Below are 12,301 nucleotides of genomic sequence, written 5' to 3' on the forward strand. Positions count from 1 at the left end.
ACCCCTCAGGTGAAGGCACAGCTGTCCAGAGCTGAGGCTTCCTAGAGGCAGGGCTGCCAGCTGCCAGGTGTCAGGTGTGGCAGAGCCGTCTTCTGAGCTCCCTGGGAGAGGGGGTCGCGCCACCTCATGCCTCTGAGTGAGGCCTGGTGCACAGGTGTGGAAATTGCCACGCAGCCCTCTTGGCCAGGCGCAGAGACCCCAGGCCTCCATGACTCAGGGGCCGCTCCACCCCATTGTGCGGCTGGTGGCTTGGGGAAGAGAGACGTAAAACCCCAAGTTAGGAGGTCTGTGCCGCGCCTTGCCTTGCCTCAAGGTCATCCCCAGCAGGTGAGCGTGGCCCACCCTACACACTCAGGTTTCTCAGGGTGCCACTCCGTGCCTGGCGCTCAGCACGACATGGTGGATTCACACCCAAGCCCCAGGTGCCAGGACAAGAATGCCAGCGCTGGGCATACTGCCGGCCCATTCCCCCCGGCCCGAGACCCTGGACACCCGCCCCCCCCCGGCCAGCTCAGGCTTCTAGGTGGAATGTGGAGACGGGTTTCAGCCACACTCCCAACCTTAGCTGTTGAGACTCAACTCCAAAGACGGAAAGTTAGAAACCCCAGGGCAGAGTCCAGGAGCCGACCTGGGTCTCACACAGGTGTCCCAGACCAGCGTGGGGATGCCCAGGTGGCCAGGCCCAGCCTGCGGCCGCTGAAGTTACACCTGCCGGGTGAGTAGGGCTGCCGGGACCCCACCTTGAGTGGGAGACCCCCAGTGTATCCCAGAAGTGGTTAACAAGCAAACTGCTTTCCATGAGCCTCCTTGATTTGTTAAATATTGAAGGCACTTACCTAAATACTGCCGTGTTGCCAGTAGCGTGCCGGTTACCAGTTTGGCCGTTCTTGTACACAATATGTGAGTAATGCTGTGCTCATCAGAGGGGAGACTTTTATATTCAGTAATTTGTTTTATAAATTAAAGTGAAGGATGTATTGAAGTGTGGTTTGAAAAATCCTGATATTTGCTAATGGCTCCGGTCACGACGGTGTCTTTTGGAAGTGGTTCTCGAAAACTCTGGTGACTTGGGGGCTGCACAGTGGGCCTGCGTGGGCGTGGTGCGGGGCAACTGCCCATGGAGCCCGTGGCTGGCCGGCTCTCCTGTGGATGACACTCACCCTTGACTGCCAGGGTCATTCAAAGTCTTGCACATCCATGAAAGACTTTAATGGAAATGTTCACATTATTATTTTCATTAAAAGCAGGTGTTTCCAAGAAGCAAAGGTTTCTGAAGCCATTTTCTTTTTTTTTTTCTTTTTCTTTTTTTTTTCTTTTTTTTGAGACAGAGTATTACTCTGTAGCCCAGGCTGGAGTGCAGTGGCGAGATCTCGGCTCACTGCAACCTCCACCTCCCGGGTTTAAGCGATTCTCCTGCCTCAGCCTCCCCAGTAGCTGGGATTACAGGCACCTGCCCCACGCCCGGCTAATTTTTGTATTTTTAGTAGAGACGGGGTTTCACCATGTTTGCCAGGCTGGTCTTGAACTCCTGACCTCAGGTGATCCACCTGCCTCAGCCTCCCAAAGTTCTGGGATTACAGGCGTGAGCTACCGCGCCCGGCCTGAAGCCATTTTCTTAAGTAGGCATATATCAGGGCAGTTTTAGGCTCCCAGCAAAATGAGCAGAAGGTGCAGCCAAGTCCCCATGCCCCTGCCCTGCCCGTCCTGCCCTGCCCAGCCTCCCCCACCACAGGACACGCTGCTCACAGCTGCTGGGCCTGCCCTTGTCGTCGCCCCACGCCCAGAGTTCCCGCCCAGCTCGCCCAGGGCACCGTCAGTCCCGTGGGTGTGGACAGGCACGTGACAGTGTGGATTCACCACTGTGGGGCCATGCAGAGGAGCCCATGCCCCGGAGACCTCCTGTGCTCCGCCTGTGCCTTCCTAGCCCCTGCACTCTCTTGATGTTTTTGGTCCTCACGGTGTTGCCTTTTCCAGAACCCCCTAGGGTTGGAATCACAGTGTGTAGCATTTTCTTTCCCTTAGTGATCTGCATTTATGGCTCCGTGTTTTTTGCGGCCTATCTGAGGCCATGATTGAAAGGAAAATACAGACGTCTGGGTGTTCACACCACGTCTGCCCCCAGATCTGTTCCCTCAGCCACCACAAACGGGGGTCAGAGCTGAGCCCGCAAAGCCCGGCTCTCCAGAACCTGGGGGCTGAACAGCAGTGGACAGGAAGCTCCCTGAAGACGCTGCTTTCTGTGCTCCACTCACACTGTGAGCCCAGGCAGACGGTGGCTGACGGATCTGGGTGAACCAGATGCCCACTGCTGCTGTCCTTCCCCAGAAACTCCGGATTTCAGGAGAAGCTGCCTCAAAACCCCTGGCGAATGATGAGGCCCTGGAGCCCCCGGAGAGTCTCAGCTCCCGCAGCCCTAACAAACGACCACAGACCTGGGGCTTCAACCAGACTCTCTCGGCTCCAGAGGACGGCCCTCTTCTGGCCTGTGTCCCCCACGGTAGAAGGAGCAAGGGAACTCCCCAGGGTCTCCATTATGGGGCACTAATCCCATCGAGAGGCGCCGCCCCGACCTCCTGTCCTGGCAGAGTTCTTGCCTTGTGGTGAGGATTTCAACCTAGGGATTGGGGAGTTACAGGCCCGCAGCACACGGTGGCAGGAGCCTTTCCTTTTCATAACTAGCTGCAGCTGCAAGTTCATTTTGGGGAATTAAAACACCACCGATGGTGGAGCGCGGTGGCTCACGCCTGTAATCCCAGCACTTCGGGAGGCCGAGGCGGGCGGATCACGAGGTCAGGAGATCAAGACCATCCTGGCTAACACGGTGAAACCCCGTTTCTACTGAAAACACAAAAAATTAGCCGGGCGTGGTGGCGGGCGCCTGTAGTCCCAGCTACTCGGGAGGCTGAGGCAGGAGAATGGCGTGAACCCGGGAGGCGGAGCTTGCAGTGAGCCGAAATCGCGCCACTGCACTCCAGCCTGGGCGACAGAGCGAGACTCCGTCTCAAAAAAGAAAAAAAAAAAAAAAAACAAAAAGAACGCCACCAGAGGCTGGGGCTGCTGGCTCACGCCTGTAATCCCAGCACTTCAGGAAGCCAAGGCGGGAGGATCGCTTGGGCCTAGGAGTTCGAGACCAGCCTGGGCAACATGGCAAGACCCCTCCATCTGTACAAAAAATACTAAAAGTCGCTGGGTGTGGTGACGCGCGCCTGTAGTCCCAGCTATTCAGGAGGCTGAGGTGGGAGGATCATCAAGCCCAGGAGTCTGAGGCTGCAATGAGCCGTGATTGCACCACTGCACTCCAGCCTGGGCGACAGAGCGAGACCCTGTCTCAAAAAAAAAAAAACAAAAAAAAAACCGTGACTGCACATGAGCTAACCACGCCTGTCCACAAAGTTAGGAAAACGAGCTACCCTCAGCCCGTCCGCTGTCCACAGTGGGGGCGCCAGGGGAAAGGGGTCAGCTTCCCCGCCTGGGGCTGTGTCTGGTTCTGATTGCACTGCAGTGAATCTGCCCTAAACCAAACGTCAGAAAGAAAAGCGGCAGACGTTTCATCACAACACAGAGACAGACAGGAGCCCGCCCTGCTTTAATGCGCATGCGGGGGAGCCGAGAGGCGGGGCTGCTGGCGGGGGAGCCGAGAGGCGGGGCTGCTGGCGGGGGAGAGCGTGTCCGGGCGCCGCACTCTGCGCAGGGCTCTTGGATGGCGCTCACCACGTCACGTCTTCTGTGCTTTCGGCCAAGCACTGGGCCAGGTGGCTGTCAACATCCAGCTGGGTCAGCCTGCAAGGGAGGGGCCACACTCACTCGGCCACCTCCGCGGCATGCTGGCCGCAGAGAGCACCGTCTGGACCTCCGGGCCCTCTCTGCTCCTGCCGCTGGAGAGGATCCGGCTGGTCAGAAACAAGGGACGGGGCCACCCCAGGGGCTCATGCACCCGGCAGACCACGGTAACCGCCAGTGGTGTTTCCACACCGTGCCCGTGAGGAGGCCACGCCAGGCCCCTGCGTCCGAGCTGGGGGTGGGGAAGCTGTGTCTCAACAAGCCTCTCTATGGGATTCTGGCGCCTGCTCAGCTTGAGAACGCGCTCATCGTGGAGCCCGGCAGACAGGCGGCCTGACCCGGAGAAAAGGCAGGACGGCGGGTGGCCTGCCAGGGAGAGCCGCCGCGGCTGCGTCTACAGGAGGCAGAAGAGTAAACATGGCTGGGCAGTGGATGTGCAGCTCACGTCAGAGAATTGGTGTTTCTGGCGAGGAGGGACCAAGCCTCACCACGGAGAAGGACGCCGTCACCGGCGTGCAGGCTGCCAACCTGCCACTCTGGGAGGCCCCACGCGGCCCCTGCACCTCTCAGGAGGGCGCTGGCGCTGGGATGGTGGCCGGCCAGGCAGGGGTGGCAGGAGAAAACCCATCCGAGTCCTGCAGGTCAGCGCCCTGGGCATCCAGTGGGGCCGGGAGGGGTGTCTGAGCGCAGCCACCTTCTATCCCCGGCCTCATGTGGCCCCATCAGCCCAACTGGAGCGGCTGGAAATGACCATCACCAGGCCTGGCCAAGGTGTGGCCCTGGAAGCCAGGACAGTTGACTTCCGGCCATGACTCCCGGAGAGTGCCGGAGCTGGCGTGCTCAGCAGAGCTGCCGGGGACGATGTCCCGGGGCTGAGTGGGCGGCTTCAGCCTAGACTTGGGCCTAGATCTTGCTGGAGGCCAAGTGGTCAGTGTCCCATCAGAGTGACCATCCCTCACACGCCACTGCTGGGGGACACACCCCCACTGAGCGGCCAAGTCCACAGGACACGTGTCCCTGTGTCCACCTGTCAGCCACACCGCCCCTCGCTCCCCTACAGCCTCTGCCCTCAGACCAGTCCACGGCGCGCCGTTTTACCCTTGGGCTTTGCTGTGTCCCTTCCTTTGGCTCCTGTGCCCCGTCTGTGTGGCCACTGCAACCCTCAAGTCCCCCTCTCCAGACCATAGCTGGACCCCCACTCCCGGGGCTGGCTCCAGCAGCCATCAGCTGCCTTCTCACTCTGGCAGAGCCCACCCAGTGCCTTCTGAAGCCCCCGAGGGTCACTCAGTCTGAGACTTTCCGGCTTCTGCCCATCCTGGGAACCAGCCCCTCCCTCCAGAAGCTTTCTCTAAGGTTGCCAGAAGGTGCTAAGATCTGAACCGAGGTCATCTTGTCCCGGGGTTTCCAGGCAGCGTCCCTTGTTTGGGGGCCCTCTGAGATGCCTTCAGACCCCCGCCTGTGGCGGAAGAGCTTTGTCCTGGCCTGATCTGCCCTGTCCGTGACGCTTCTGCTCAGTAGCTGAGCACGCCCTGTGGTGTGGACAGGCCAGCCCGGCTGCAGGACAGTGGGGGCTCAGTCCAGAAGCCTCTGGTGGCTTCTGCGTGTGGGCAGGGGAGCAGGGCTGCAGGGTGGGCTGGCACCTGGCAGCGTGAGGGGCCTCAGGGCTGTTAAAATCCCAACGACCGGCCGGGCGCGGTGGCTCACGCCTGTAATCCCAGCACTTTGGGAGGCCGAGACGGGCGGATCACCTGAGATCAGTTCAAGACCAGCCTGACCAACATGGTGAAACCCTGTCTCTACTAAAAATACAAAAATTAGCCAGGTGTGGTGACGCCTGTAATCCCAGCTACTCAGGAGACTGAGGCAGGAGAATCGCTTGAACCCGGGAGGCAGATGTTGCAGTGAGCCGAGATCATGCCACTGCACTCCAGCCTGGGCGACAGAGCGAGACACCGTCTCAAAAAAAAAAAAAAATCCCAGTGACCAACCCAGGGCCTCGCCACATCAACAGAGACAAAACGCAGCTCTGGCTCTCAACATCCTCACCCCTCACCAGGTGCCCAGCTTCCCATCCACCCACGTGACCCGCAGGTGTCTGAAAATGCACAAAATGTCCAAATAGGACCACAAGAAGATCTTAAAGACACAAAGAACATTCTACATAGTTTGTCAAATCCAGCATTTGACGGTCCTCTGGGTGACCCGGAGAACACCAAGGCTGTGAGAAATGGGAGGCCTCCTGGCAGCTCCACTCCCCAGACCCGCCTCTGCCAGGGCTCCAGGCTCAGCAGGCGCCTGTGCGGGACAGGGCGACGGTTCAAGACCAAGTCCGGCTGTTAGACCAGACCCTCCAATCCAGGCGGCCTCCCTGCTGGGGTCCTGTGCGGTCAGGAGTCCCAGGGCATCCCAGGGTGGCTGTGCAAACCCTTGTTCCCAAAGATATGGGGCTTGTCCCCCAGCTAGCCTGCCCATGCGGTGGCCACAGCCTCGGGTGAGTTCCGGTTCCAAAGTACCGGCTCTCCCTTACGATCAAGTGTTCGAATGTGCTTGAAGCATTCCAGACACACCAAGGCCTGGACCTGACTTCATTGACGCCTACTTAGGAAAAATTGAGGCAGTCTGCCAAGCTTTCAGCAACTGCTTAAAAAGCTCAAAATGGCAAGTTTTTCCTCGTGAACGTCCTTGTCTTCAGAAGTCTTTTTTTAGACTATCTGGAAAAGCAGGCGATGCAAAGACAAAAGCCCCTCCCCGGGGGGCGGGGGGCAGCACCCTGACAGCAACAAGGATCTCAGAGCTTCAGCCAAGAGCATGGATTTCTCCCCAGGGCTCCCAACAGTACCCTCTGTCCGTGATTCAGGGTCTTACTCTGTCACCCAGGCTGGAGTGCAGTGGTGCAATCATACTTCACTACAGCCTCCAATTCCTGGCTCAAGGGAATCCTCCCACTTCAGCCTCCAGAGTAGCTAGGACCACAGGCACGCGCCACCACGCCCAGGCATGTAAAGATGGGATCTTGCCATGTTGCCCAGGCTGGTCTCAAACTCCTGGGCTCCAGCAACCCACCTGCCTCAGCCTCTCAAAGGGCTGGGATTACAGGCGTGAGCCACCGTGCCCGGCCTTTTCTTTTGTTGTTGTTGTTGTTGGCTGCCAACTTTGGACTCCGGTGCCTTCGCATTCCCGAGCTGTTTTTGCTTCTGGAAGACCAGGGGCATCAGGCATGACTGAAGGACCTGGTCTCCATAAGCTCTGAAACCTGCCGCCCATTAACTCAACCAAAAGTTACGAACCAGCATCATTCACACCACCCCAGCCCCAGGACCTGCTCCGGAGGCCAAGGGCCCAGAGGTCGCCAGACACAAGGCCAGGCACTGGGCAGTTTGGGTTATCTTGTTAGCAAAACTGGGTTCCATTCCCCTTTACTTAAAAAATACATAAAAATATACGTTGGGTTTCAAAAATAAGAAAAAGCATCTCCAGACAAAAAAGACGATCTTCATTTTTAAAACCCATGACGCACTCTCGGGAAGGTGTTCCTGTGCTCTGGGCCTGGGGACGCTGGTGCCACCAGATTCCAGGATGGCCAGGTGGACCCGGGGCCAGTGCTCCCAGCCTTCCTTCTGTGCTGTTCTGTGGGCCCCCAGCCTGCCCTGCCCACAGAGCACGGCAAGCAGGTGGACCCCAGACCCGTGACAGAGAGCCACCTGGACATGCCAGGCCACAGCACTGGGCCACCTTTCCAGTGTGAAACAGGGCTTTAAAAGCCAGCGCTGAGCTCGGCCACCTCTTGACCTTCTGAACGGCTGTGGTTTCCAAACACGGATGGATAACCGGGCCGGGCGCAGGGGTGGCCTACTCACCTGGGGGCGAACTCCTTCTGGCACATGGGGCAGCTGCGCAGGGCCGCGGCACCCTCCACAGACGGCTGCTGCTCCACCCTGGGGGCCCTGCAGGGATCAGGTGCCGGGCGCTGGGGCAGGGACCTGGCGGGGGATTCCAGGTGCCCTCCTGCCCCGTGAAGCAGCCGGTAGGAACGGCCCGGGCCCCACAGGTCCGGCGGAAAGGGTGTCCAGGAAAAGGTCTTGGGTCCGACAGTGAAGACTTCAGTGGGCTCCGGGCCGCACCTGGGCTCCTGCAACACAGAGTTGTTGGGCCTTGCCCAGCGATGGCTCCCGCCCTGGAAACCCCTTCATCGCTAAGATGGGCCCAGTGGGCACACCTGTCCTGGGAAGGCGGGCAGTGAAGGCACCTCGTGATCCAGGATCAGCTCCGGGCTCACCGTGCGCAGTAGCTCGGCCCAGAGCCGCTCCCGCTCATCACCCCCCAGGAGAAACCAGGGGCGGCCGCCAGAAGGCCTGGGGCAGACAGAGAGGGCAGACAGGGGGTACTCAGTAGCGGAAACGCTATGGTGGGGAGACCCGGGAGGGCCTGGGGCAGAGAGAGCGGGGAGATGGGGGGTACTAGAGGGAAATTCGATGGTGCGGGAGGTGGCCGGCAGGGTTGGGGGAAGGGCTGCTGGGGCAGACAGTGCGGAGATGAGGGGTACTGGGGGTGGGGGAGCGGGGTGGGTGGGTGGAAATATGGGGTCCTCAGCGGGATGAGGCGATGGTTGGGGAGATTGCGGAGGGCCTGGGGAAGGTAGAGGGTTAGATGGGGGGTGCTCAGGGGAGACGCGATGATGGGAGAGGCGCGGGAGGGCCTGGGGCGGCGCGGGGGAAGCTCGGCGTGGGGTGGGGGCTCAAGGCGGGCGCTGAATGGCGGCGCGGGGTGGGGCGACGGGCGTGGGGGCCGGGCCCGGGGGCAGGGAGCCCTCCCCAGGGGGAGAATAGAGCGGGAGGCCCGCGGGGGCGCCGGGAAGCACGTGGGAGCGGGAAAACCGGCCGCGCCCCCGCCCGGCTCCCGGCCTCACCCGCCCGCCGGGCGCGGCCTCCGGCGGCTCAACCCCAGCCGCGGCCTCCGCGCCGCCTCCATCCAAGCCCGCGCCGGGCGGAAGTGAGCGCAAGCCCCGCCCCCGCCCCTCCAGGCCCCGCCCCCGCCCCGGCCCCGCCTCCAGACCTCTGCAGCGAGGCCGCCCCCCTCCGAGACAGTCGGAACCCCAGGGGCCCTGATCCCAGCCTGTAGGGAAACTGAGGCCAGGGTTCCTTCGTCCTGCACCGCACAGGGGGGCCTGGCGTGAGGGTGGGGGGCCCAGGTGGGGGAGCCCCGCCCGTGTCCCCTTTCCCGTCCGGGCAGCCCCCGGGCCGGAGCCCCCTCCGTTACCCCGATGGCTGCCCGGCCCGCCCCGGCACTGCCTCCTCCCGGCTGCACCCAACAGCTCCCGCCCCCGTTTCCGGCTCTGCGGAGCCGCCTCTCCTCCCAGGACCATTCCAGGAGTAAATAAAGCTTGAAATCCGCCGTCGCCACCACCGTTTCTTTACAAAAGGCGGGGAACTCAAGCTCCTTAACCAAGAAACCAGAGGCGAAGTGACAAAGTCCAGGTGGCTCACTTGGGCCTCAGGGGCCTGGGCCAGGGCCCTGGGGGCAGCTGAGGGGCTTTCCTGCCTGGACCCCGGGCTCTGCGACCTCAAAGTCGGCCACGTGGTGGCAGCAGCCGCCCAGGCACCCTGGTGCCACACTTGGCTGTGCCCAGTGCCCCATGGGCCCAGGCCACTTGCCTCTCCCTTGGCCCTGCTGGGCCCTGGAGTGGCTGCCACCCTCACGGAAGGAGTGGGGTCTACAGAGATCAGGGTCAGGGGCCCTCGCCAGACGCCACTCAGGGCTCTGGGACTCCTTGGCAGTTTCTGCCCTGCCCAGCCCCAGCAGCTTTGGGGCTATGCTGGGCACCCCTCCTGCAGGGCTCCCTGGCTGTTCCTACCCCTCACCTGGCCCCTCCCAGCCCCCAGTCGTCTGTGCCCTCCCTCCAGAACTCAGCTGTGGAGCCCGGCCCTGAACCCAGGCCACCCGAGTGGCCCACCGTCCTTCAAGGGGCCCCAGCCTGGAGGCCATAGGTTGGTGTTCAGGGAAAGGGTCAGCAGCAGGGCCTGGACTGGGAGGTCCCCCTCTCCCTGCATGAGTGGTTTTCTTCCGCACACCTTCCTGCTCTAGATGCTGGAGGCCCCCAGCAGAACAAGATGGAGGCACCAACCCCCAGGCCCTTCGACTTGAGTGAGCAGATGGAGATGCAGCGCTGAGTGCTGCCCGGGCAGGGGGAGGGGGCCTGGGGGAGCTGCTGCAGGCCGTGTGGTCTCAGGGGGCCCTGTGGGAGGTAGCCTGTGGCTGGGCCTGCTCTCAGGCGAGAGAAGCCCAGCCGTGGGGTCTCTGCAGCCCCACGTCCACCACATGGCAGGTGCCAGCTGACCAAGCGCTCTCAGACAGCCAGTGTCCAGGGCTCCCCGACAGTCCTGGCTGCCCTGGCTTCAGCTCCGAGCTTCTGGGTCTTTCCTGGAAATGTCACCATGGTCTGCAGGAGGGCCTTGGGTACTTCCAGGAAGACTGGTCCCAGCCTCCCAAGACAGGAGAAAAGGCCAGGCCCAGCAGCCCATGCCTGCAATTCTAGGACTTGGGGAGGTCCAGGCAGGCAGATTGCTTGAGCCCAGGAGTTTGAGACCAGCCTGGGCAACATGGCAAGACCTTGTCTCTATAAATAAAAAATTAGCTGGGCATGGTGGCATGTGCCTGTGGTCCCACCTACTTGGGTGGCTAAGGTGGGAGGATCACCTGAGCCCAGGTAGGTGGGGGCTGCAGTGAGGCAAGATCGTGCCACTGCACTCCAGACCCCAACTCAAAAAAAAAAAAAAATAGGCCAGGTGTGGTGGCTCAAGCCTGCAATCCCAGCACTTTGGGAGGCCAAGTCGGGAGGATCACTTGAGGCCAGGAGTTTGAGACCAGCCTGGCCAACATGCAGAAACCCCATCTCTACTAAAAATACAAAAATTAGCCGGGCATGGTGGTGCACACCTTTAATCCCAACTACTTGGGTGGCTGAGGCACGAAAACCACCTGAGCCTAGGAGGCATAGGTTGTGGTGAGCCAAGATCGCACCACTGCACAACAGCTTGGGCATCACAGCAAGACTCTGTCTCGAAAAACAAAAAAAGACAGAGGAGAAAAGCCCTTGGTGACAAGTGTTTGCTCAGCTCTCTGTGCCGTGCTGGGGGTGGTGGGGGGTGTTCTTGCTCCTTCCTCTCCCTTCCCCACTCTGGCTCCCAACCCCAGGGTTCTGCTGTTGGACCCGGGGGTGGCTCCTGCCTCCTCCTCCTCTATGGCCCCCACATGGTCCAGTGCCCTCCTGCCATGGGACCGGCCGGCCTCTGGATGGGCTCCGAGCCCCCTGGGACCCATCTCCTTCCCTGCCTGGGTCCCTTGGGCAGAGCCTGGGAAACTCAGGCCCCTGCCCTGTCCTGGAGGACCATGTGAGGGACACCTGTGTGTGGCTGCTGCCCCAGAACAGGGGCCTTTCTGGGCGGGAGGACCCAGCCCCCACCCCTGGAAAGCCAAACACTAGAGCTTTGCTGGGGTCTTCAGCATCCTTCCAGCCCCTCCCGGCTCCCCCATGCAGGTGCCCTGGCCACTGGGCCCAAGAGGGGCAGAGCCGAGCAGAAGCAGGGCGGGGTCTCAAGTGACCCAGACCCGGGACACCTGCGCTGCCCGGCTGGCGCAGGCTGCTTGGGAAGCTCTCGCTGCGGGTGCCCCAAGGGTAGGAGGCACGGGCCTGCAGGGGACCTCAGGGCTGGCTGAGCCTGGCTCCAGCCCGCATCACTGAAGCTGGGGGGCCCCCATCCCCTTGAGTCTTAGCCACCCCAGTGGGCCTCATTTACCCTTGGCCACCAGGGAAGAGGAGCCAGGGCCCCAGGCCAGTGCCATGGGGCAGAAGGCAGGGCCTCTGGGCCTGGTGCTTTGGGGACGCAGAGGCAGCACAACGTGTCACAGTTGTCCTCCTGGGGGCTCTTCCCCTCCAGTTTATCTGCTGCTCTGGATTAATCTCCCCTCCTCCCATGTCACCACTGGGGAGGGGGCAGTGGGGCAGGCCCCTGTGACCTACAGCCAGAGATAAGTCCACAGAGAAAGGCACTGGGGTGACCTCTGCTCTGGGCACGTGGCGGGTGCCTCCACTTGTCAGGAAGCCTGACCCCCAATCCCCTCCCGCCTGACAGCTTCCCGACAGCTGCCTGCCAGCCGAGGGCCTGGAAGGGGACCGGCCACTCAAGACTCTCAAGACAAGGAAGCATGTTCACCTCCAACAAACATACCTTGTCCTGCCTGTCCTCAAGTTATCAGCATGACACAGCGGTGCTGGTGATGGTGATGGTGGAGGTTTCAAAGTTGAACCTGATGAAAACGCTCCACTTCTTCGGAGCCATCTGCTGCTGTGGTGACGGAGTTTTGCTTTATTGGAAAATAATTTCTGGTTGGGACTGACACGTGCACAGTGGAAATGAGTTTTTTCTAAGCCAAAATTCATGTTTACAAAAGAACGTTTCAGCTGTGGGAGTTTGCATCCCAGGCAGAGCAGAAGGTGATCGAGTGGGTGGGGGCATCAGAGCCA

General features: G+C 61.1%; 1 protein-coding gene and 1 long non-coding RNA gene across 25 annotated transcripts in view, besides 4 other annotated features; one reads left to right on the forward strand and one right to left on the reverse strand.

Annotated features, from left to right (window-relative positions):
* FAAP20 (FA core complex associated protein 20) overlaps positions 1-12,301 on the reverse strand; it is a 28,244-nt gene that overhangs the window by 1,525 nt on the left and 14,418 nt on the right. For 4 of the 24 annotated variants that reach the window (XM_047448516.1, XM_047448519.1, XM_047448544.1 and 1 more), the window contains 5 exons: positions 12,006-12,122; positions 7,997-8,132; positions 7,638-7,909; positions 6,844-6,974; positions 5,900-6,075 (listed from right to left, as the gene is read on the reverse strand). In XM_047448516.1, the coding sequence (XP_047304472.1) occupies positions 6,857-6,974; positions 7,638-7,909; positions 7,997-8,132; positions 12,006-12,122 (643 nt within the window). In that variant the 3' untranslated portion in view covers positions 5,900-6,075; positions 6,844-6,856. Of the gene's footprint in view, positions 1-2; positions 249-836; positions 1,206-3,546; positions 3,781-5,899; positions 6,975-7,637; positions 7,910-7,996; positions 8,133-8,686; positions 8,772-12,005; positions 12,142-12,301 lie in introns of those variants that run through there. The other 20 variants (NM_001282671.2, NM_001282672.2, XM_047448517.1 and 17 more) reach the window with 20 other exon arrangements.
* On the forward strand, positions 3,797-6,457 carry LOC112268219 (uncharacterized). The gene has a single exon (NR_168005.1). It is a non-coding gene; the product is annotated as an uncharacterized LOC112268219 (long non-coding RNA).
* Positions 3,982-4,141: an enhancer, noted in NCBI's record as "active region_47". NCBI's record gives its function as "activates an Ori minimal core promoter by ATAC-STARR-seq in GM12878 lymphoblastoid cells {active_cell/tissue: GM12878}" and the evidence as "EXISTENCE:reporter gene assay evidence [ECO:0000049][PMID:35858748]".
* Positions 8,526-8,615: a silencer, noted in NCBI's record as "silent region_105". NCBI's record gives its function as "represses an Ori minimal core promoter by ATAC-STARR-seq in GM12878 lymphoblastoid cells {active_cell/tissue: GM12878}" and the evidence as "EXISTENCE:reporter gene assay evidence [ECO:0000049][PMID:35858748]".
* Positions 8,626-9,105: a silencer, noted in NCBI's record as "silent region_106". NCBI's record gives its function as "represses an Ori minimal core promoter by ATAC-STARR-seq in GM12878 lymphoblastoid cells {active_cell/tissue: GM12878}" and the evidence as "EXISTENCE:reporter gene assay evidence [ECO:0000049][PMID:35858748]".
* Positions 9,739-10,405: an enhancer, noted in NCBI's record as "H3K27ac-H3K4me1 hESC enhancer chr1:2127179-2127845 (GRCh37/hg19 assembly coordinates)". NCBI's record gives its function as "activates a minimal SCP1, AML or CMV promoter by ChIP-STARR-seq in primed H9 embryonic stem cells {active_cell/tissue: H9 hESC(primed)}" and the evidence as "EXISTENCE:reporter gene assay evidence [ECO:0000049][PMID:30033119]".

Source organism: Homo sapiens, chromosome 1 (genome assembly GCF_000001405.40).
Source record: "Homo sapiens chromosome 1, GRCh38.p14 Primary Assembly".
NCBI classification, from domain to species: Eukaryota; Metazoa; Chordata; class Mammalia; order Primates; family Hominidae; genus Homo; species Homo sapiens.